This window comes from Homo sapiens, chromosome 3, assembly GCF_000001405.40.
Source record: "Homo sapiens chromosome 3, GRCh38.p14 Primary Assembly".
In the NCBI taxonomy this organism is placed as follows: domain Eukaryota; kingdom Metazoa; phylum Chordata; class Mammalia; order Primates; family Hominidae; genus Homo; species Homo sapiens.
This window is the reverse complement of record NC_000003.12, coordinates 73,605,588-73,628,807: the sequence shown is the minus strand read 5'-3', so window position 1 is coordinate 73,628,807 and position 23,220 is coordinate 73,605,588. Positions and strand designations below refer to the sequence as shown.

At 44.0% G+C, this 23,220-nt stretch overlaps 1 protein-coding gene and 1 long non-coding RNA gene across 3 annotated transcripts in view, besides 1 other annotated feature; one reads left to right on the top strand and one right to left on the bottom strand.

Annotated features, from left to right (window-relative positions):
• PDZRN3-AS1 (PDZRN3 antisense RNA 1) lies at nucleotides 909-5,240 on the bottom strand. The gene is made up of 2 exons (NR_046681.1): nucleotides 4,843-5,240; nucleotides 909-3,396 (listed from the first exon to the last, which is right to left on the bottom strand). It is a non-coding gene; the product is annotated as a PDZRN3 antisense RNA 1 (long non-coding RNA).
• PDZRN3 (PDZ domain containing ring finger 3) overlaps nucleotides 3,867-23,220 on the top strand; it is a 242,511-nt gene continuing 223,157 nt past the window's right edge. The window contains exons 1-2 of one of the 2 annotated variants that reach the window (NM_015009.3): nucleotides 3,867-4,705; nucleotides 20,124-20,210. In NM_015009.3, the coding sequence (NP_055824.1) occupies nucleotides 3,983-4,705; nucleotides 20,124-20,210 (810 nt within the window). In that variant the 5' untranslated portion in view covers nucleotides 3,867-3,982. The remainder of the gene's footprint in view (nucleotides 4,706-20,123; nucleotides 20,211-23,220) is intronic. The other variant, XM_017005942.3, reaches the window with a different exon arrangement.
• Nucleotides 5,934-6,448: an enhancer, noted in NCBI's record as "H3K4me1 hESC enhancer chr3:73671511-73672025 (GRCh37/hg19 assembly coordinates)". NCBI's record gives its function as "activates a minimal SCP1, AML or CMV promoter by ChIP-STARR-seq in naive H9 embryonic stem cells {active_cell/tissue: H9 hESC(naive)}" and the evidence as "EXISTENCE:reporter gene assay evidence [ECO:0000049][PMID:30033119]".

Here is a 23,220-nt window from a genome sequence, read left to right as displayed (position 1 = left end):
AGACTTTTGCAGACCAGAATTTGCTCAAATTTGTAAGAAGTATTTTCGCAATTCTTGTTCTTCTGCCTAGTGTCCCTACTGTGATAACTCATCCTGACTTACCAAAGTCTTCAAAAGTCTCCAGAATAGAGAACTACCTTCTCTTCTCCCTACCTTTCAACCCATGGCCAAACGAATGTGTCAGGCTCCAGGATGGCTAACATTGGCTATGTTAACAGGCAAGCAGTCTGACCGAAATGTTTCACACTTGTTTTTGTGGATGACTGCTGTACCTTATTACGCTCTGGTGGTACTTTCATTTGGTAAAAGCAGATCCTTATCTAATTGTATAGTGCTATTTTAGCTAGTAGAATACAAATATGTACGCCTGGGGAAGAAAATTTAAAAAACAAATGTAAAAACCCTTGACTTTCTTTTTGTTTGTTTTTTCTAGTACTGAAGCCACAAATTATCCAGACCCTACGAGCAGCTGAGGATTGATAACCAGCAAACATGGAGGGGTGGAGTTCTTATCCATATCATTTGTAAGGGAGTGCCTCCTGAGCTGGAGCTTATGGAGGAGACGCATAATGCTTATGGTGATTAAGAGTGAGGGTTCTGAAATTCTCCTGTTGACATCCCTGACTGGAGGCATACCTTATGTAACCTTATAAGGTACCTACGCCTACTTAGATATCTTATGTAACCTCTATAAACCTCAGTCTCTCCATCTGTAAAACAGGGTGGACAACATATCTACCTCTCTATGTGCAGTGAGGATTAATGAGACAATGAAGGTCAAGTGCTGAGCACAGTGCCTGATACCTAGTAACAGTTCCCAAAAAAGTGGTAGATATTATTATCAACTTCTGATTAAACATGCTGATGGAAAGAACACTAAAAACAGAGTTTAAAATCAGAATGGGATCGTGGTGAATATAGAAATAGTATTTTTATTAGGCTTGGGGCCACATTTTGGTTAGAAAGTGCAGAATCAGATGATAAAAGGAAGGGGTAAGAGCAAGAGGTAGTGGAAGTCGCAAAAATAATTTGCAAAGTGACCAATCCAGCTGTCCACAAGGAATTCATCCATATATAAACACTCAGATGTTTCTGGGACGGTTGAGTAAGTATCTAATCCATGTCAGAAAAATCAGCTACTTTTCTCAGGAGGCCTGCCACACCAAACATTCATCTTCCTACAGTTTTTATTCATGTTTATTGGTATGGTGCCTTGAGTTTTCGATTTATAATAACATCCCTCTCTCACTGTGCAGCATTCACCAGGTGGTTCCACAGCCAGCAGAAAATGTGGGCTGACAGCATTGCCTGACTTCAGTAATGAGCAGAAAGCTTCCTTAAAACTGTGGTTCTCAACCTGGTTGTCACAACAAGGGGTTGTTACTATGTCTATTGGATAGTGGCCAGAGATGCTCCTAAATATCCTGCAATGCAGACGATAACCAACCCCCCACCCCCACACACACCACAACAAATAATTATTTGAATGAAAATGTCAGTAGTACCAAGGTTGAGTAACTCTGCCCTCAACTCCTTTTTCCTAATATTTTTGGCTCTCGTTTCTCCTGTTAAGTTTGGTGACTGAAATAATAGTCTTGCCAGCTCTGACATTGTAGGATTTTTTTTCTAACCTCCAAGAATTTTGATACTAAAATTAACCATTGAGGAGTGGCACAGACTTTCCTTTTGCCTAAAGAGGCCAATCCACAGTAGGCTATGGCTTCTCTGTGGCCTCAGCTGTAGCATTTCAGCAACAACCTCTCAATCTGCCATCTGGGAGACCACCCGAGGGGTGGTAGAACATCTCCAAAAAAGTGTACACCCCAAGTAAGCACTAATTTACATTTATGGTGTAGGACAGAACTTCTCTGTTTCTCAAAACCAGTTTGGTTTGAAGATTATCACCCTGTTGACACTAGCTCATTCTGTGAAACTGACAAGCCCACACACCTTTGGTGAAAGAATTTGTTTCCTACCCATTATCTGAGAGCCCATGAGCAGTTTAATGAATATACTGATGGAGGATTCCCTGGCACAAGCTTATCTGAACAAAGGCCAATAATATTCCACCCCATGCAGAATCCTATCAAAGCAATGCATTAATTGATTAAAGCAATTAAAAGAAAGTCTCCACCTCAAATAGGCAACAAATGCCACCAAAACTGATTAAAGAACACTGTCCAGTGACCTCAACCATGCACTGAAAAATCTAGTGAGTGACAACTTTTTAAAGGTCAGTGTGAAACAAGTAATCCTTATGAACATCAAGGCAATTCTTTCACTCTGATGAAGCAGTTAAATAGTGAAGGTCATGGGGCTTTAGCAGCCACATAAAAGAAAGAAGGAAAGCAATTAGACAAAATGGATGCTGTAATCCCACTTTCCAGGCCCCAGAGTCTCGCTGAATACAGAGCTCCTGCTTTACTGTTCAGAACTCTCCCGCTTCACTGTTCAGAAACTGGAAGCAGATTCCAAATGAGAATTCCATAGCTTGATTCCACTCTCACCAAAAGCTGACTGCGTGTTTCTTAGGAATGTCTATAGCCTTGGGAGGTAAAAATAAAATAAAATAAAATCAATGGATGATGCTATGAACTTTACACCCAGTTTGGAATTCCAAAAATATTCCTCCATTGCTCAGGACTGTTGCTGAATCCTACCCAGCCAGGTTTGCTGTACTGCAGGGAATGAATGTCCAGATCTATGGATCGCCAGGGTTTTCCAATCAAGTGGGAATCCAAGGACCAGCATGGACTAGCAGCATTGGCATCACTTGGAAGTGCTTTCAGTATGGAGATTCTCAGAACCCGCCCCAGACCCACTGTATCAGAACCGCAACCACATTAAAATGTGAGAAACACTGACCTACAGGACCCTACAGGGCACTTTTGTTTTGTTTTGTTTTCTGTTTTGTTTTTATCCTTCTTCTAGCCTGAGTTTCCTCAATGGAAAGATGACAGAGTGTACACACAAAACAAACCAAAACTGAAGGAGGGCAGTTGTTGACATGATCATGGGGGTGATGAGTCTTCTCCCAGTTCTAACTTCTGCAGTCAGCATCGCTTCTTTTGTAATCACGGGAAAATAATTTTCAAATGGAGCTAACCCTCTCACAACATTGTACTAATGATCTTTAAAGCGACGGATTTAGAAGCGCTCAGCACCACGCTTGCCACACTGCAGGGCAGACACTTCAGAGGTGTTAGGTGAAGTGGATGGAGCCAGCACGCTGGCCTCTCCCACTCCGACAGCTGGCGAGCAGCTCTTGTCCACCAAAACTTCCCCGGGTAGATTCACCCACCGGTCCTGGAAACCTGCTAAATCCTGAAGGTTCACAGAACCTCTGGTCAGAACTGAAGTTGCAGCCGGAGCTTCCCGCAGGCTCTGTAACTTTCCCTGGAATGAAATAAATAAATAAAGACCGTAAGTGCTGAGATAGCGGGCCCCAAGATATTTTTAGTCCTCTGCAATCAGCCACTAGAGGAAGGGGGAGGGAGAAGGGAGTAAAAAAGTTTTGATCCGTTCGGGAAGGGGCTCGAAGAGAACCCTTGGGAGAAAGCAGTAGCCTCAGCTCCAAACTCAGCGAGCTTTTCTCGGCTGGCGTTTTGTCTCCTATAGCGTAGACTGTAAGAGAACAGAAAGGAGTTTCCCGAGAAGATTCAGGCTGGCGTCCTGGGCTGGCCCGTCCCTTCTGGCGAGCCTCAGTGTCCTCCCACGCGCTTCTGCCTTCCAGCCTCCTCCCTTTTTCGGGGGGCTGGCGGGAGGCATCCAAGGCACGATGTATGTGCGCTCGCGCTCGCGCAAATACGGCCGGAGGAGTCCTGTTCCTCGGGCATTTTCCGAGGAAGTCTGGATCAATTAGGCTCAGTCCGGGGAGAGCCAGCGAGCGCGCGGGCGGCGTAGCCGGCCTGTCTGGGCCGCCTCGTGGGGAGGGAGGGGGCGCCCGGCCGCCCGGCGGCGACCCCGGGGCCTGGCCGCCACCATGGGCTTCGAGCTGGACCGCTTCGACGGCGACGTGGACCCGGACCTGAAGTGCGCGCTGTGCCACAAGGTCCTGGAGGACCCGCTGACCACGCCGTGCGGCCACGTCTTCTGCGCCGGCTGCGTGCTGCCCTGGGTGGTGCAGGAGGGCAGCTGCCCGGCGCGCTGCCGCGGTCGCCTGTCGGCCAAAGAGCTCAACCACGTCCTGCCGCTCAAGCGCCTTATCCTCAAGCTGGACATCAAGTGCGCGTACGCGACGCGCGGCTGCGGCCGGGTGGTCAAGCTGCAGCAGCTGCCGGAGCACCTCGAGCGCTGCGACTTCGCGCCCGCGCGCTGTCGCCACGCGGGTTGCGGCCAGGTGCTGCTGCGGCGCGACGTGGAGGCGCACATGCGCGACGCCTGCGACGCGCGGCCAGTGGGCCGCTGCCAGGAGGGCTGCGGGCTACCCTTGACGCACGGCGAGCAGCGCGCGGGCGGCCACTGCTGCGCGCGAGCGCTGCGGGCGCACAACGGCGCGCTCCAGGCCCGCCTGGGCGCGCTGCACAAGGCGCTCAAGAAGGAGGCGCTGCGCGCTGGGAAGCGCGAGAAGTCGCTGGTGGCCCAGCTGGCCGCGGCGCAGCTTGAGCTGCAGATGACCGCGCTGCGCTACCAGAAGAAATTCACCGAATACAGCGCGCGCCTCGACTCGCTCAGCCGCTGCGTGGCCGCGCCGCCCGGCGGCAAGGTAGGCGCCTGCTGCCCGCCCCGACCTCCAGCCAGGATCCCTGGGGACCCAGGGCCCCGCCCCATCCCTTTGGGTACAGGGATGCCCCGAGCTTCCCGGGAACATCCTTGCTTCCTCCCTCTTCTTCCACTGCTTACCAGCTGTATCACTACTTGCAGGTCGCTGAACCTGCCTGAGGTGGAACACTGTGGTCCTTTATAGTCTAGACGTAACCGGTAAAGTATAGCTGTACAGCTTCAGGGATTCTGGAAGGACGAAAAAGAATTCACAAGCAAGTGTAGGATAAGAATGAAGAATGCAGCTCCAGAGTCAAAACTGCGTTCAAAGGCTTTGCTGCTCAGACCAGCTAGGGGATCTCGGGCAAGTTGCTTACCCTCTAGAGGTCAGAAACCTATAGACTGACACTTAGGAGAGGAGAGATGGACACATTGGGTGAATTGTATCCGTGCATCCTCTAGGATTCCAGAAAAAAAAATAAAGGGAACCCACAGCCAGTGTAGATTAAGTTAAGAAGGATATCAGAAGAGAGGCCTCTGGGGTAAAAGCTGGATGCAAGCGTGGGCTTTGCAGCCAACTAGCTGGCTGACCTTGAGCAAGCTGCTTAACCTCTCTAAAGTTGGAAACTATGGTCCCTAGAGACGTGGTATACAGAGTAAAAACACAGCCAGGCACCCCTGAGGTATTCATCCAGGGATTTCAGAAAGAATTAAAGGAGCACTCTGCCCCCAACAAGTATAAAGTAATAATTAAGTGTGAGTCCTCTGGAGTTAAAACTGTTTTCAAATCTGGGCTTTTTGCTGACCAGCTGGGTGAGCTTCTGGCTTAATTCCCAGATCCCTCAGTTTCCCTCAGTGCGAAAGGTTTTTGTCAGGCTTCAGGGAGAGAGTTTAGTAGAAGGGCCTCGTACTGTGCCTGGCAGAGAGTAAATAAATGCTCAACAAGTGTTACCTAGAATTATTTTTAACATCTCCACCTGAGCGGTCCCCTTGAGCGAGGGTTTACTTTGCTCCAGGCTGGGTGCTGCATTCTTCCCAGTCATTTCCTTTTTAATCAAGTGAGGTTGGTGTGACCCTTCCCACTTAGTAGATGAAAAAACTGAGGCTCATTAAGGGGCAGTTTCATGCCTGGGTCACAGCTTTTGGGTGCAAAGCTGCATGTTGAACCTTTGCGTGCCCATCTTTCCAGCCCACGTTCTATAAACTATCATGTTGCTCCTCAGTGCAACCACAAGGACCATTTATTGAGTGTTTATTAAGTGCCACCAACAATAGGAAGTACTTTACATGCATTACCTATGTTGTCCTTTGAGATGAGGGAACAGACTCAGAGAAGTTATATAACTTGTCCAAAATTAAGTAGTGACTCAGGGAGCAGAGCCGGACTCAGATTCTACCTCAGAGTTCTCAGTTTTGGGGCATATTGGCATTTTGGGCCCCATAACTCTTAGTTGGGAGGGGAGGTACTGTGCTGTGCATTGTAGGATGTTTAGCAGCATTCTTGGCCTCCCTCCCAAGTCGTGACAATCCAAATATTGTCAAGTGTCCTCTGGAGGGGCAAAGTCGCCCAGGTTGAGAACCACTGGTTTCCCTGATTGCAGAAGCCACATTTTCAACAGCTGGGTACTTCTGCCTTCCTGGGGAGGGGCCTGGGCCTGCTGCCACCGCTCTGGTTGCCTGCTCCAGATGGTGTGGCAGAAAGGGGAAAATATTTGCCCGAGGCTCCCCCAAGGGCCTGTGTCTGCTTTGCCTCTCTCTGCCCTCTCCCAGCCCCCTTTCCTTACGTGCACACCAGGCCTGCAAGTTTTCCGACCTGGCCCCCCTTCCTGGCCCCTGGCCTGTCTGTCAGCTGCAGTCTCAGCAGCTGGCCAGCTCTGGGCGAAGGGCAAATATTTACAGCTCCACAGCTTGCCCAGGACCTCACAGGCACACAAAAGACTGGTGTGAGCCTTCGAATCACCAAAACAGAGGGCAAAGCTTGGTCTTCAATCAGGCGCCAGATTTAGGGTGAAGGAGTTCCCGAGTTTCTGCTGTTTATGCTGTCATCTGGACTTCCTTCGTCGTTTTAAGTGACGCTTATTTATAAATAAGCCATTCACTGCCCCAGAGTTTATGCATCATTTATTGTTGAGCTAGTTTATTATTTCTTCTTAACTTTCTGTTTTCTTTCTGGAGTGTTTGGGTAAAATCTCCCTCAGAGTCAAAAATATGATACTTGAATCAAAACTGTGGATGTTTTTGAGGCTCTGTTGAGTTAGTGGGTAGCATAAAGAAGGATGTTAAGCTTAGAGACAAGATGTTGATTTTGAACTTACGGAGAAAGGTTTGTTCCGGTGTTGGAGCCCTGCTTGGAACTTTTACCAACCTCAGTGCCAGCCTTGAGAACAGCAAAGGATGGTCTGGCCCAGAAGCTGCCCTAGATAGTTTCCCTGGCCTCAGACCCAGCCTGGCCTCAGCTGAGGCCTTAGGGAAGCTTGCTGTCTCTCCTTGCCCCGAAATTAACCCTCAGTGGCCCTTACTGAACGCTTTTGCTGTTCCTGGGTCAACCATAAAACTCCTCCCATTGGAAGCTGTTTAAGAACTTGTTTATTTCATTGGGCCGGCTCTCTGCTCCTGCTGGGTACTGTTTATTCTCTTCTAAAAGGCAGAAGGATTTATATGTCCTGGAAACTCTCATGTGCAACATTTTTATTTTCTTTTTAAAATAAGCCCTAATGTTTGCTTCTCTGTTATAAGCTGAAGGAGATTAGAAACACTCAGATTTTCAGTACCAGCTCTTCAGCAGCCTAGAACTTGCACAAATGATGTGGCATTCTTTAAATTATCTTAGGTTTCAGTTTTTTTGACACCTGCTGAACGCTTAGGGTTTGTTAGTGCTGTACCAGCATAGACGTTGTCTCTTCTGTTCTACCATGTGAGCTATATTAAGGATTCTCAAGCCTTAGCGTGATTGGAGTCACTGGAGAGCTTAACACAGATTCCTCAGTCTCACCCCTAGAGATTCTGATCCATTAGGGCTGGCCAGGGGCCTGATATTCTGCATTTCCAATGAGCTCCCAGATGATGCTGGTCCTTTAAGTAGCCGCTAAGCTAGACGAAGAGCTTACGCTCAGGTAGATATAGACCAAACATGTATTGGTCTTCACACAGTTATGGTTTCACTGGTCATTGTCTAAACACCTTCCTAAATTTCTTAAGACCAGGATAAAATTTTAAAACCCAGACTGCCTAGGCCGGGCTCAGTGGCTCACGCCTGTAATCCCAGCACTTTGGGAGGCCGAGGCAGGCGGATCACGAGATCAGGAGATCGAGACCATCCTGGCTAACACGGTGAAACCCCGTCTCTACTAAAAATACAAAAAATTAGCTGGGCGCGGTGGCGGGCACCTGTAGTCCCAGCTACTCGGGAGGCTGAGGCAGGAGAATGGCGTGAACCTGGGAAGCGGAGCTTGCAGTAAGCGGAGATAGTGCCACTGCACTCCGGCCTGGGTGAAAGAGCAAGACTCCGTCTCAAAAAAAAAAAAACAAAAAAAACCCAGACTGCCTAGCAGTTAAATGACAGGTAATCATAGCCTAGACAGGCATCTCTGATCTCACTGAGGCCACATCTGAGCTGCAGCAGACTTGGGATTGCTACACTTGAGTGAGTTAAAGAGTTCTGCTCCCAGCCTCAGTTTCCCATCCTGACTTACCCCCTGATTCTTAGAGCAAAAGCACTCCAGAGCAAACATCTTTTTTGCTTTTCTTTCTGGGAAAGGAACAATTCTGGACATAACTTTCCTTGGATTGATTGAAAAACTTGAGATACATCCTCGATACCTTTTGTTCTTTAACCTCCCATCCGGTCTGTCTTTGAATCCTGCGGATTTTACCTCCTAAATACATTTTGAATCTATTCACAGCTCTCCAGCTCACTCAAATGACCACCGTGGTCCAAACCAGAGTTTCTGAATCAGCACTGCCAACATTTTGGAATGGATAATTCTTGGGTGTGGGTGTGTTGTTGGTGGTGGTGGTAGTGGTGATGGGGGTGGGAGGCTGACCTGTGCATTGTAGGATGTTTAGCAACATCCCGGGCATCTACCTACCTACCTACTAGAGGCTAGTAGCGCTTTCCAAGTAGTATCAACAGTATTTGTGGACATTGCCAAACGTCCCTTGAGGGGCAAAATTGGCCTTTGTCTCAGACACTCTTGCCTGGACCATAACTCTTTCCTCTACAAATCTTCTTGCTCCTCTTCAATTCCTTCTTTACCTAGCATCAGGAATTAATCTCTTATAAATGTGTATCTTTTATCACTCTCCCTCAAGCCTCCTATGCTGTCCCATTTCTCTTGGTTGGCTATAAGGTCCAACATGCTCTGGATCCTACCGGCTTCCACCTGCCTGGATTCTTCTCCCCTTCATCCTCTTCTTTCAGCTTCTCATGTCTCTGAGAGTCGATGCATGTGCCCCTGAGCTCCTCTCTGCCTCCAGGCCTTTGCACTTGCTCTTCTGTCTACCTGGAACAATCTTACCAAGTACTCTGCACTAAATAACCTGCAAAATTTCCACTTCTCTCCTCTTGCCCACAGCCTTTCTGTCTGCACTTAGGATTTGCTTATCACTAGACAATGGTTCTTTCTATTCTCATCTCAGCTGAAGCATCACTACCTCTAGGAAGCCAGGCCTCTCGGACCTCGCAGACTACATCTGGTGCCCTGAGACTCTTACTTTGGTTATCCTCCTGCATGGCATTTATCATAGCTGTAACTAAATAAGTGGAAGAGTCTGTCTTGTCCAGTACCATGTCTGTGGCACTAATCCATTGCCATGTGCACTGTAAGCTCTTGATATGTATTCATTTGGTGATGAGTTCAAGATTGAAAGGCCTGTCTTGGCAGTCATCAAAACTTTTCAGGTTGCTAACCAAAAGTGGGCTCGTGTTTAAAAAGAATGAGTTTCTCCGTGATGACCCAGTTAACAAAATTGTTTTCAGGTTTAGGGGAGGCATTATTTTTGTTCCACTAGATCCACCCAGATCAAGTTTTATAAAGCCCCAAATCCTAGAAACTATTTTGTCCTTTTCAGAACTGGAAATAAGTAAATCTGATAGACAATTGTATCAAAAGGTGTTCCAGATGTCCAAACACTTTGAAATGTATCTGTTAGAGTATTCACCATGAAGTATATTTTGTTTCTGAAAAGCTCCTGCACAGGGCCATTCCATAGTATATCTAACAAAACAGCGCACTTCTGCTAAAAAAAAGTTACAGATTGTCACTTCTATTTCATTTCTGTGATTTATAAGGAAAATTAGGATTTGTTTTACAAATATGTTACCCAGCTACACTGGATTAAATGAGTATAACCAGACAATTTGAATTGGCAATTCTGTTGAGATTTGTCTGTAAGTGGCTCTTTCTGTGTTCAGAAATGGTGCTTGCCTCGCTATAAAAATATTTGATGAGTAAGAATCTATTTATAAGGCAATTATGCATTGGACCGTAGACCAAGGAGCTTAAAAGAAAAGAAAATAATATTCATTGAGTTCCACTGGGTGCCATACACTTAAGGTGCTTTCTGTATGTGCATACATTATCTTCTCCATGTTCTTCATTAGATAGACCTCTTTTTTTAATGGGAGTAGCAGATTATGAAAGATTAAGGCTAGAAGTTAGATTCTAAATGTAGAGCTGGGATTTGAACCCAGTGTGGCCCATCTCCGAGCTCACACTGTTACCAAAATAAGAAAAGAATTTTTTCCTGGGGCGGTGCCCTTCTCTGAAGTCTCACACAGGCTTTCAAAGCACCATTATTATGTATGCCAAGTACTGTTTGGATTGGAGGTGTACATGCATTATTTTATTTCATCCTCAGAAAGACCCTGCAAGGTCGGTGCTCTTACCCATGACTCTTTCCTTCCATTTTACAGATGAAAAAACAGAAGCTCAGAAAGTTAAATAACTTGCCAAGTGTCCTCCACTGGCTCATGTTAGTTTGCCTGTTGGCTTCTGGTCCATGAAATGTTTTCATCCCATACCATGTTCCCATTTACATAGGTCCAGTGTAGAGCACATGGAGTACAAAACAAAACAGATCCTGGCTGTGAAAGAGATTTAGGCTGGGCATGGTGGCTCACGCCTGTAATCTCAGCAGTTTGGGAGGCCTAGCCGGAAAGATCACTTGAGGTCAGGAGTTTGAGATCAGTCTGGCCAACATGGTGAAACCCAGTCTCTGCTAAAAATACAAAAATTAGCCAGGTGTGCTGGTGCACACCTGTAGTCCCAGCTACTGGGGAGGCTGAGGCAGGAGAATTGCTTGAACTCTGGAGGCAGAGGTTGCTGCGAGCCAAGACCAGATCGTGCCAGTGCACTCCAGCCTGGGCAACAGAGTGAGACCCTGTTAAAAAAAAAAATAGATTTAGACAAAAAAGAGATGATGTCCTGGATGGAATATGAGAACAGCTCTTTAATTTTTATCCTGGTAATTTTAAGAGTGGTTAACAGTAGGAATGAAGTGAAGTTCTTCCAAATGTATTCTGCAGTTTAGCTCCTCACATTCTCATACCCCTAGTGCCAGGCCCTGTGGTAGGCACCATTGGATAGAAAGGTAAAACTGAGCAGCTTTAACCCAGGGGATCAATCAGACACCCACATATGCCTTTGAAAGCACAAGTCTTACTATTCTTTGCTCACCCAAGCTTTTATGCCATGGGTTAGCCTCTGTCTCCCCTTGACTAATAGTGTCCTAATAAGCCTGTTACAATAAGAAAGGGAAGTGGTATAACATAATGATTACTCTTGTAAAGAAAATAACTACCAGATGGACCTGAGCAGCCATCTTTCTCACTCATTCCATCCATATATTTACAGGGAATTTAAAGAGCAGAGGCACCGCGTAATCTTTGTATGTTGCAGGCCTTGCAGCCACCCCATCCCCAGGAAGGGCAGTGATGAGCTTTTCCCCTGGCATCAGCAGTGTGTGTGCAGAGAAGAGTCCTGGGCAGGAGATCACCCCTAGTATTTTGCTAAAAGCTGTTTTTAGGTGCCCCGTGTCTTTGCTGTGTTTGGATAGGTGAGGGATGAAGTCCCATCAGATCGTGGGTGAAGGTTAGATGCAGGCGTTGGGTCCACAGGCTGACTCCAAGGTGCCCTGAATAGAGCTAGTGTATTGCGTGTGGTTAGTATCCATATCCTGGGATCAGCAATATTCGGGTTCATGTGTTCTCTTTGCCCTGTTGTTGAGGGCCCCTGGGAGGCTCTTCTAACCTTCAAGCCTTAATTGCCTCACCTCTAAAATGGGATCATAATATGCCTGTTGTTAGGGTTGTTATTAAGATGAAATGAGATGATGTACATAAGGGCACAGTAAGTCTTATCAAGCATTTCTTGACTGTCTATTAAGTGCTGGACACCTGTAGGATTTTAACATTTTTTCAAATAAATCACTGAAGAAAGTTTAGGAATTTAAAGCAGTTGTTATCTAGAAGAAAAGAGATTGTTACTCAATAATTTGGTTTCATTGTAAGCCTCCTGCTGCCCCTGAGTAACCCATTCTCTGGATTTCTATCCTCTGTCTGTTTTGCAGTGGTGGAAATGTGTGAAAGAGGGATATTCAAGTTCATTTGGGCTAAGATGTAAAGGTGGAGGGCTAAAGCTTATGAATAACATATGGGTTACAGAGTTGTTTATGTTTTTCCCACCCAAATTAACAAAGCTATGGAGAGACTGGCCAGAAAAACCTCCTACCTTCATGTAAGCAAGTGCACTTATGGTTTTTTAGATGAGTAGCCTTGCTTTCTATCTTAGTCTATTTGTGTTGACATGAAGAAATACCTGAGGCTGGGTGATTTGTAAAGAAAGAGGTTTGTTTGGCTCATGGTCCTGCAGGTTGCACAAGAAACATGGCACCGGCGTCTGCTCAGTTTCTGATGAGGGCCTCAGGCTGCTTCCGATCATGGCAGAAGGCAAAGACTAGCCTGCATGTGCAGAGATTACATGGAGAGAAAGGAGGCAATGGAGAGAGAGAGGAGAGAAGTTCCAGGCTCTTTTAACAACCAGCTCTTGCAAGAACTAATAGAGCAGAGCTCACTCTCTGCCCACCACCACCCTGGGACAGCATTAATCTCTTCATGAGGTGTCCACCCCCATAACCCAAACACCTCCCATTAGACCCCACCTCCAATGTTGGAATTAGATATCAACAGAGATTTGGGGGGACAGTCATCCAAACTATAGCACTTTTTTCTTTATTTAGGGAAGAAAATGCTTCTGGTTGGTAATTGGATGTATACATTTGAAAACCACTCTGTCTTAGGCCATTTAGGCTGCTGTAACAGAAATACCAGAAACCACTCTGTCTTAGTGCATTTAGGCTGCTGTAACAAAAATACCAGAAATTGGATAGCTTATAAACAACAGAAATTTATTTCTCGTAATTTTGGAGGCTAGGAACCCCTAGATCAAGGTGCTAGCAGATTCAGGGTCTGGTGAGGACCCACTTACTGGTTCACAGATGGCTGTCTTTCTGTTGTTGTGCTCACATAGTAGAAAGGGTGAGGGTTTCTCTCTTGGGCCCCTTTATAAGGGCACTAATCCCTAATCACGTCCCAAAGGCCCCACCTGCTAATACCATCACTTTGGGGATTAGGATTTCAACATATGAATTTTGAGGGCACATAAACATTTAGATCGTAGCACACCCCATAAGTAAGTGGAAGTGTTAAGATGCTGTAACACCTTAAAGGTTTGTTGGTGTCATTTTTGGTGAAGCATTGCTTGTGGTTGTTCACCAGAAAAGCAGATGAGTCAGTGACAAAAATGAGAGAGAAAATTTGAAATCAAGCTCGTGGAAATAAGAAATTAGACATTTATGGATTTTTTCAGGTTGTGTAAATATAGTAGCAGACTTTTTTAAACGAGGAAAGTACTGAAACGTCTTCTCATATTAGTTTTCAAAAATATCTCGTTTGGCTTAGGACCATGTGAACTATTGTGCAGATATTATGACTCTGGAAAAGCTCTTGTTTTTTTTTCTACCTGTTCCCCCATGCCCTTTGTCTCCCTTCATTCTCTCTACACCTTTTTCTGATGACAGAAACATCCTATTAATACTTTTGTTGAGTGTCTCATCCAATTTCAACTTAATTTCAAGCACCGTCCTTATGACTACCTTCAGTCTTAGGCTTTGGAACAGTTTCCTCTTATGTTCTTCTGCAAGAATCACTTCCTTAGAGCTGGGTTGAATTACAAGGCAGGGCTGGTCCAAACTGCTTCACCATTAAGAATTTTAAAGTTTTAACTACAAAGAGGACAAAAGCATCTGAGCATAGGGAGTGAAGACATCAGCAATTCTTCAGTAAAGAATTTCTGGCAGCCAGCTCTACCTCTTGGTCCCCTCAACTCCCATCTCTGCACATTTTTGCCTGGAAACAGCCAAATATACAGTGCTTTCATGTCACTAGTCAACAGACAGAGCTGTTTCCCAGCTGTGTGAAGACTAGTGAGTCTTTGTGAACTTTGCATAATCTGAGGCTGCGAGGTGTTACATCACACAGACTAGCGGTCAGTCAGTTACATTTCTCAAAACCTACTGGGCAGCTTTCCAGTCTAGCCAGTTCTCTGCTGTGAGTCCCACAACAGACATCATTAGGGAACACCTGTCCTTAGGCAGAAAAGGAGTTTTTAAAAAGAGTCCACATTGACAGTGGCGTGGATGGACCCTGTGAACCACCACACTCATTAGGAGATGTCTTGTGTCCAAGCTTTTGAGGCTGGATGGTTTGGAGGAGAATGGTGACAGAGTAATACTAAAGAGAAAAGGGACTTTGCCAATAGATGGTTCACATTCTTGGATGCTTAAAAAAATGCAGCCTCATAAGATGTCATTTTGACATTCAAATTACATTCAATTTTTGATTTTCCACTGTGACTTTTCTTCCCCCAACCAATTCTTATCCAATTAGACCTTGAGTTGAAAGCTGAGAAGATTATTTGGGGTAATTTTAACATTGATCTAATAGTTACATGTTCAAATATGATAGCAAAGCTTCTTTTAAACAAAATCAACTGTATCTTCTTGAAAAGTGAGCTTGCATTTCTGCTTGTGACTTGGCTTAGGCACTTTGGATGGTTCATGTCAGTGTTAAGGTCTGGATACCCACAACCCCTTCTCCAAGGTTAATATGTCCCTGCTTTTTCTTAATCCTAAAGACCTAAGCTTCTCCCAGGGAGATCCTGTGTTGCATTAGGGGCCCAGCTAACCTCTTGAATTGGGTTTGGGTGGGGGCTGGGGTCCTAAGTATCTGATAGAGCTTCCTGCCAAGCCCAAGGAAACAGATGTCACTGGGCTCCAGAATATGACCAGAACTGCCCTTCTGCACCCTGCATCCCAGGTTCTGTTGAGAACTCCTCAGTCTTCAGGGTCGGGGTTACTGAAGGGAAGAGACACTTGCCCTCTGGGAAGAGTTACTGAATAGAAGGCAACTCTGTGAAAGCTGCCAAGAAGGTGCCACTCCATTTCCATTTGTTGTTTTTCCTCTGTTCTTCACCTTCTTTTCGTACCAATCCATCGAGACCCACTGATATGGTAGAACTTGGAGCAGTCTGTAGTGTGTAGCAATCCCCAAGTACCCTGTACTCCCAGACTCCCCAGCTCGTTTCTGTCTCCACCGTTCCTAAGTTCACCGTTTCTTAGTCTTGATGTTTCTCCTATCCTGTTGTGAGCCAAAATCTGTTTCCCTTCCCCTTTGCTCCTGTGGCCATCCCCTTCCAGGTGTGACCATGTTATGTATGTGATTTCCCCTTCTCCTGGCCCACAGCCCACTTGGTCAGTATCATCTCCCTGTCATATCTGTGCTCTACTGAAAGTCCAAGCGGAGCTGCTCCCCTCGTCTTCCTTCCCATGGCTCCTCCCACCACCTTCAGAATAAAAATTGTCTACCTGGTGGTCACTCCACTGGTCCCCTAAAATGTGCCACTCTTTTTCCAGTCATGGAGAAAGATAGATACAGTTAGGAATATATAATGATATTTATTTACTTAGCTTTCAGGCCCCAGCTCTTCCAAACTTGCTTTAGCCTAAGTTAAAGTGAGATTAGGCATTCTCCATTGCCTAGATTTTGTAGAAGAGTAATGTATGTGGGAAAAGAGCATCATGACCTCGGTGTTGAACTATGTGAATGTCCAGCTTAACACTGTGCCTTGTGTTTTGGGTGCTAATTATTGGCCAGATGCCATACTGAGGCAGTCTTTGGGTATCTGTCTATCTCAGTCATGCATCCTAGTAACCTGGTGACATGAGAACTGGTGACATGAGAAGGAACCATTATCATTCCCTTTCTGTGGATGAGGAAACATCACAGGTTCTGACTCTGATGTTGCGCCAATCTGAGATTCCTGAAGACATCTTAAGTCCAGCCCTGAACTCAGAGAATCTCTCTCAAGGGACAATTAAGACAATGCCCAAAACACATTTCTCAGCCAGACAGCATCTTGCAAAGAATGTTTTTGAACAACCAAGTTCACCTTCTCTGCTTCCTTGCCAGATGCAATGGACATAATGGTCCCAGAACTTAACCATTATGCTGCTCCTGTCATGGCATAATAGTCTTATTATACTTTTCAGGGTATAATAGACATTCTTAATCTTTGCAATTATTATTGCATAGTCCAAAGAAGCCTTACTTAAAACTCTAATTGCCAGATGAATTAATTGTCTGATCCTTCATGCCAGGCTCAGTCTTTGGAGGCAGAAGGATTTAGAACAGGGTGCAAACATTTACCAGCACAGTACAAAGATCGTAGGCACCAGAGTCACATGTGGACCTGGGTTCCAATCGTGACCTTCCCACTTTGCCACTATGTGATCATGAGCAAGTGTCTGATTTTCCCTGAGCCTCAGTTTGTCCAGGTTTAGAGCATTGATACAATGTCTGCTTCGGAAGGCAAGTGTGTTTGTTGGCTTATCAGTTTCTATGAAGTTAGGCTCATTTCTCTCTTTGTTTTACTATGTTTTGAGACCATTGCAAATCATGGGTTATGATAAACTACCCAAACAGACCAATATTGGTTAAATTTTCCTGTAAATGAAAGATGCTGCTGCCTATCACAGTTACCATGTCTGTGAACAGTCGGGAAAGCAGCTTCGATAAGAGCCTTTGCCCTTATCCCATTTACACCTCTTTTCAATTGGTGGGATGTAACTGAATGATAATTATTTAAGTACCCTCTATCCTGAAGCATTTTGACCCTAGGAACAGGTTAAATGGGTAAGCAGAGGTTAATGTTAACATGTTAAATGTTTTATATGAAGACTATCTGTTTACAATCTCAATTAATACTTCTTGTGAAAAATTAGAAGTTAAACTAAAGTAGTTAAGGTTGTTTGTGGAGAAAGGAGTGAAAAGGAAAAACCAGAATCACGTTGTCAAAGAATAGCAATTAACCTTTGGTAATTAGTTGGAGAAATGAAAGGAATTCAGCCCAGACTGAACATTTTCTTTTATCCCTCCCTGCATCCTGTGTCGAATCTTCTACATGTTGCTTTACTACTGTAAATCAACTCTAAAATAGGCAATGCAGCCTAAAGCCAATGTCTGACACTTGTGGACAGTAGACTAGATCAAGATGCTTATAGAAAATAAGAACACCCTTGTTTCTCCCCAGCATTGCATCTGGCAAGAAAGCATAGAAGGTCAGCTTAGTTGTTCAGAAACATTCTTTGCAAGATGCTGTTTGGTTGAGGAATGTTGTATTTCAGACAGTGTCTTAATTGTCCCTTGGGAGAGATCTCTGAGGTCAGGGCTGGACTTAGATGTCTTCACACATCTCAGATTGGTTCCTTTGGAGATAAATAGTTCAGTAAACAGTTTGGAATTTTGTTCTGATACTGGCCTCCTGGGTAAGCCTTCCTTTGATAAGTTCTTTTTTGGAATTTCAACAATAAAACCATCTTGAACAGGACCTAAGATGTTGCTAACCCATGTGGAATTATTTTTTATATTCTACACAGAAAGAGAGTAGTATAGAAGTGTAATGAAGATGTAGGATTGGGAAGTATGGGTCTGAATCCCAGCTCAACATTTTACTAGCTCCTTAGCATGGGACAACTTTCTTAATCACTCTACCTCAGTCTTCCCACCTATATCATGAGGATGGTAATAGTGCAATTTTTAAGATTGGTTGGATTAAAAAATGAAATAAAGCATTTTATTGTCAGTATAGTTTCTGGCACATAGTTTGCAGCCAGTAAATGTTAGCTGTTATCATTGTCAATGCAATGTAATAAGATTATTTTCTTCTTCTTTTTTTCTTGAATAAGTGGTTATCACACAGTAGATTGAAGACCAATCTTTTAAATCATATGATTGTGCATTATTCTTTGTGCATCACTTGAGATTGTCAAACTAAAGCCATCTGCCTTGGATTACTGTGTAACTGTGCAGTTTCTATCATTGATTAATTATGAAAGCCAGACATGTAAGATATGTAAGATAACTTGCCAAATTCCCATGTATTTCTAACTTTTCACCCCTTTAAGATAGCAAAGTAAGAAATGGACTTAGTGAGATTTTCAGCGTCCTAAGTAGAAAGACATAAACTGTTTCAATTTGAAAATCATGTTTATATCTCAAAACTATTAGGTTGATTCTGGATTTTCTTTTAGAGCAGTGAAAGTTATTGCCTATTAACTTGTTACAGTTCAAATTGGTTATAAAGAGGGATAGTGTTGATAGATGCTTTTGATGGTGGTGCTGTTTGTCAGAACATTTTTTAAAAACCAATAGCCTGTCATTAAAGAGGCTCTGCTGTTTTTTGTTGGGTACAGTAACTTGATAGAGACTAGCTTCTTTTTTATATATAATTCTGTATTTTATATATTGAGTAAGTGACTCTTAAGAAATGAATGCTGTGTTGTCCTTATAGGACACCTAGTTCTTTCATCAGAAACAGAGTATCTTTTTCTCAGAATAAATTGTCATTTTTGTTTTTACAGTGTATTTCTAATTGATGTTGAGGCTCACAAGAAAGTTCTGAAAATGTCTTTAATTTGGTTGTATAATAACTACTCGTGAGAAAGGGGTTGTGGTTATTAAGACTTTAAGCATGGAGATAATTCTACATGGTGAAGCCCATTGATCTTTCGTAATATTTTTTTAGCTCTACTGGGCACAGTTCTCCTGGCAAAATGTGAAACCAGAGTTGCACATTGACAGCCATAGCAATAAATGAAGCGGTGCTCCAGAAAACTCACAGGGCACTGCAGGTAGAAACAGTACTTTCCTTTGCCAGTGTGGTTGAGTCAGAGAGTTGCATTCATGCCTTTCCAATGTGGCCATTTATTTCCCCAGAAAAGGTAGAAGACAAAAGTTTGAACAGAAAGCAAAAATGTCAGAGTAAAATCTCTCTTGTCATAAGCTGTCAGTGTTATGTTTAAAACAGCTTATTAAATATTTTATATTTAAAAGAAATACCACATTTGAATACTACCATGTTTAAATAGAAAACGTTAAGTGAAGCAAATGCCGATTTATAGGCAGTACACAGGCTGTGATGTTTTGCATATCATCCATATAATTGAAAACTGTCAAAGGTGTATCAGCGAGTTGAATGTTTATGTCAAAGAATATTACGTGACAGTTTTCACATAAGGTTAAATCTATTTTTATCTGTCTGCTGTCACTTGAGAGTGTTAGTTGAGAACACTCTCCCTGGCATCTCTGTTGCCTTTGACTGTCGAACACTATGCTCTGTGACCTGCCTGGGTCACTTCTACTTTTTTGATTTAAAGGTCACATTGACCAGCCTTAAACAGAGTGCTTTCTGTTAAACAGCTCTGCGTCTCGTGTGGATTGGACAGTAATTACTTTGTGAAAATGCCCCCTCCCCCTTTTCAGTAAGATTCAGGATTTTTTGTTTTCTGTGTGTGTTTGCATCTCACTTTTCATGCACTATTTTTCCCCAAGTCTCCCAAACAGAGATGGCTATTGATGGGCCATGCATGCACTCACACTTCCGAAAGAATTGCTATTTGAACCTTTCATGACATGACATGAATGCTGCTGTTGAGAATGGTTGAGAAACAAACAGAAAGTAGCCGTCTAGACAGCCTGCGTACGATGGGCCGGTCAAAAGAAAGATGCATTTGCAGACCAAGGTGTCATTCATAGAAAATGTTCATTGGGCATGTCTGGACATCTCCAGACATTCTTAGGTGGTCATTCCAGGGTTAGATGGTATCTAGAAATGTTTATAAGCCCTTAAACACAAGACAGAATTTCAGATTGGGTTCCAGAAGTTTCCTTGGTTAAACTTCCCAAGAGATAACAGGATTTGTAATGATTAGCTGAGTAGTCCTTGAGTACACTTAGATAGAAGGAAAATTCCTACCATCTATTCCCTGTTGGTAAATAAAAGTTTGATCTCATTTGTTACCTGCAGGGCGAAGAAACCAAAAGTCTGACTCTTGTCCTGCATCGGGACTCCGGCTCCCTGGGATTCAATATTATTGGTGGCCGGCCGAGTGTGGTATGTTAATTACTAAAATGTGTTTTTCCTTTTCCTGGTGTAGCTGGAAAGAGAGGTCAAGGTTTGAAGGGGACAGTGAGGAGCAGGAAACTTTGCTCACTTCATTCTGCTCTCTGTCATTAGAGGGTTCATTGGCTGTCTAACATCTTCACACTTAGGGATTTTTATTGCGTAGTCTCCTAAAACAGCATTGGCCTAGTAATATAACAGCTAATTTAAACTGTTTGGTTTTGGGGGTGCATTTCTTTTTTTGTTAGGGGGTACATTTCTGTTTGTATAGCAGTTGGGCTGAATGAAGTTGCGTGAGATGTGTGCAGTTGGAACTGGGTAACCAGCCACCGTCCTAGACCGAGCTGGAGTGTGGTGCTCCAGACTGGAAGCCTGATCTTGAGTTCTGCTCTGTCAGCTGTTCATTAGTCAGAGACAATTCTCTAATTTGTGGGTGACTGCATCCCTTTGCTTTCTCTTCCCACTGCAGCTCTTTGACCACCACATTCATCAGCAGACCCTCCTCTAGAAAGAAGAGGCCGAATTCAAATCTGCCAGTTTAATTATGGGGAAAATGTTCAAAGAACGGGCTCCAGAGAGTAGCAGTGGATGTGTTTCAGAATCTCACACTTCAAGGGGGATTATCTGAATATGTCCCATCCTTTACCCTTTTCTTTTCCTGACCATCTCCTTGTTTATTAGCTTAAAAGGAAAGTAGTTAAAGGAAAAGAAAACAAAAATCTTTCATTCAACAAATAAGTATTGAACATAGGCTGTTTGCTAAGGGCCAGGAGATACAATGGAGGCCAGAAAGACTGAGGCCCTGTGGTCATTGAGTCCTGGTGGGGATGTCAGACAAGAAACAAGTGAATACAATAATTAGAGATTGGATTGGAAGAAGTATGATGAAGGAAAAAAAAATGGGAGGATGGCACATGGCAGATACCAGCCAAGAAGCAAAGGGTATCATTAGCTTGGGTTATCAGGAAAGACAAGAGGAGATAGTAGTAAACAGAAACCTAAAGGACGAGAAGATGCCAGCCATCCAGATAGGAATAGTGTGTGCCCTGCCCTCATGGAGCTCACCTCCAGATGGAGAGACTGATGAGTTGGGAGAGCATAGCACTGCTCTCATTGATGTACTCTGTGCCTGCCCACAGCTAATGATGCCCTGGGATGAGTTAACCCTGCGGGAGGAGGTGTCCTGGGGAGGGGCCGTTGGAGCTGAGTTCAGAAGGTTGAACAGGAATTTGCTAGATCAGAGGACCATATTTTATTTGTATATATAATGTGTACACAGTACCAAACGAATACATTATGTGCCTTATAAAAAGTTACGTACAAAAGGGAGTATTTTAAATAATGAAATTAAAATATGACTATGAAGAAAATGTGAAGTATGTTCTCCTGCCATTCCAATGCATTGTGTTACACGCATTCACCTGTGAAGACCCCTGAGCTAGAAGAAAGCGGTTGGACGCTGGGGTTTTGCAGGGGTGGGGATTGGCGCTCATACAAGGCCTGGAGCAGGAACAGAGTTGGGAACTGGGGGAGCTGCAAGTAAGCAGAGTGTGGAAAGAGTTGAGGGATGGGCAGGGAAGTGGCCAGAAAGAGGCCTGGTGAAGAAAACAAGGGCTTGACCCCAAAGGGCCTAAGTCTTGAGTCTGGGATTTAAATTACCTAGGGCGGGAGTGGCCAACACATGGCTTCAGTTGAAGGGAATGACACAAAGAGATTTATGATTAAATTCCCTTTGCTTTTAGCCCATTCCACAGTTTCAAAAAGAAACAAACAATGGCTTATTATAAGAAACAACAACTTAATTATGTGTTTGCAGTTGTTAAAATGATGAACATTATCTGTCTTATCAAACATACATATAAAAAAGAACATTTTAAATGGTGAGACTAAATTGTAAATATGAAGGTAGATGGGGACAGGGATAATTCCCACTTTATTGAGCCCCAGGGATGTCATCACATGGTTGTATTTCTTGCATTCGCTCTGTGGAATTCTTAAAAAACTATAGAACCGCGTGAGGTTGGTATATTTTTATTTTTTCCTTTTACCAGTTGTCTGAGATCCCAGGCTGCATGTCATCATGTGCTGTTCTGATTTAGTCCTTGCTGCCAGGGGTCCTCCGTACTCTCCAGCCTTCGGAGGGACTGAGGGAGCAAACTGCACTCAAATATCTAGACATTTGGCTCCAGGAAGCAGCAGGGTCAGACTTGAGCCCGTGGTTCAGAACATGAGCCCATGTTCTACAACTTACCATCAAGAACATGTTTTGCCATTTAGCACAGATGAGTTGGCTGTTCCTTGTTTACATTCATAATTATTCCTCCACCCTTTGTTACCAGTTTTGAGAAACAACTTTAATAAATTAAGATTCACTTCACAATTAGGTGTTTCACAAGCTATAGCAAACAAAAGAACCCAAACCAAGAAGACCTATTCCCTGCCCCAGGTCTAAACCACACCAAAGCCTACTGTTGGAAATTGCTCAAAATGGAGAGGCCTGTGGCCAAGTGATTGTTGGGAAACCTACTGTGTTAAAGCCAGTGAAGATGGTGTTCAGTTTCCACACTCACCAGGTGCAAAATGACATTCCAACCCCACTGGAATACAGTTCTTCCCTGTGCTTATCAAAGAGCATGTCTAAGTTATTTTCTTTTTCTTTTTTACAAAAGGTGCTTTAAGTACAAGCCAGACCTGATTTTGTAGCTTGCATTAGTATTTTCAATTTATGTGGTCTTTTTGCAAGAACTGCCTGCATGGTCCCCAGAGGAAAATTTAATTCCATGTGCATGTGTTTGCCATAGTGTTTTTCAAAATTTGCCCTGATTAGCAGAAATAGCATCATGAAACCTGAATGTATTCTGCACTGTTGCCTGGAAAATCTGGCAGGTCATTGAGTACATGCTAAAAAGCCAAGATGAGCAACAATGCACACACGTTGTTAGTTACTAGAAGAATACAGTACAAATGATGTCTGTGTTTCCCAAGGAATTCCTGTGTTAGA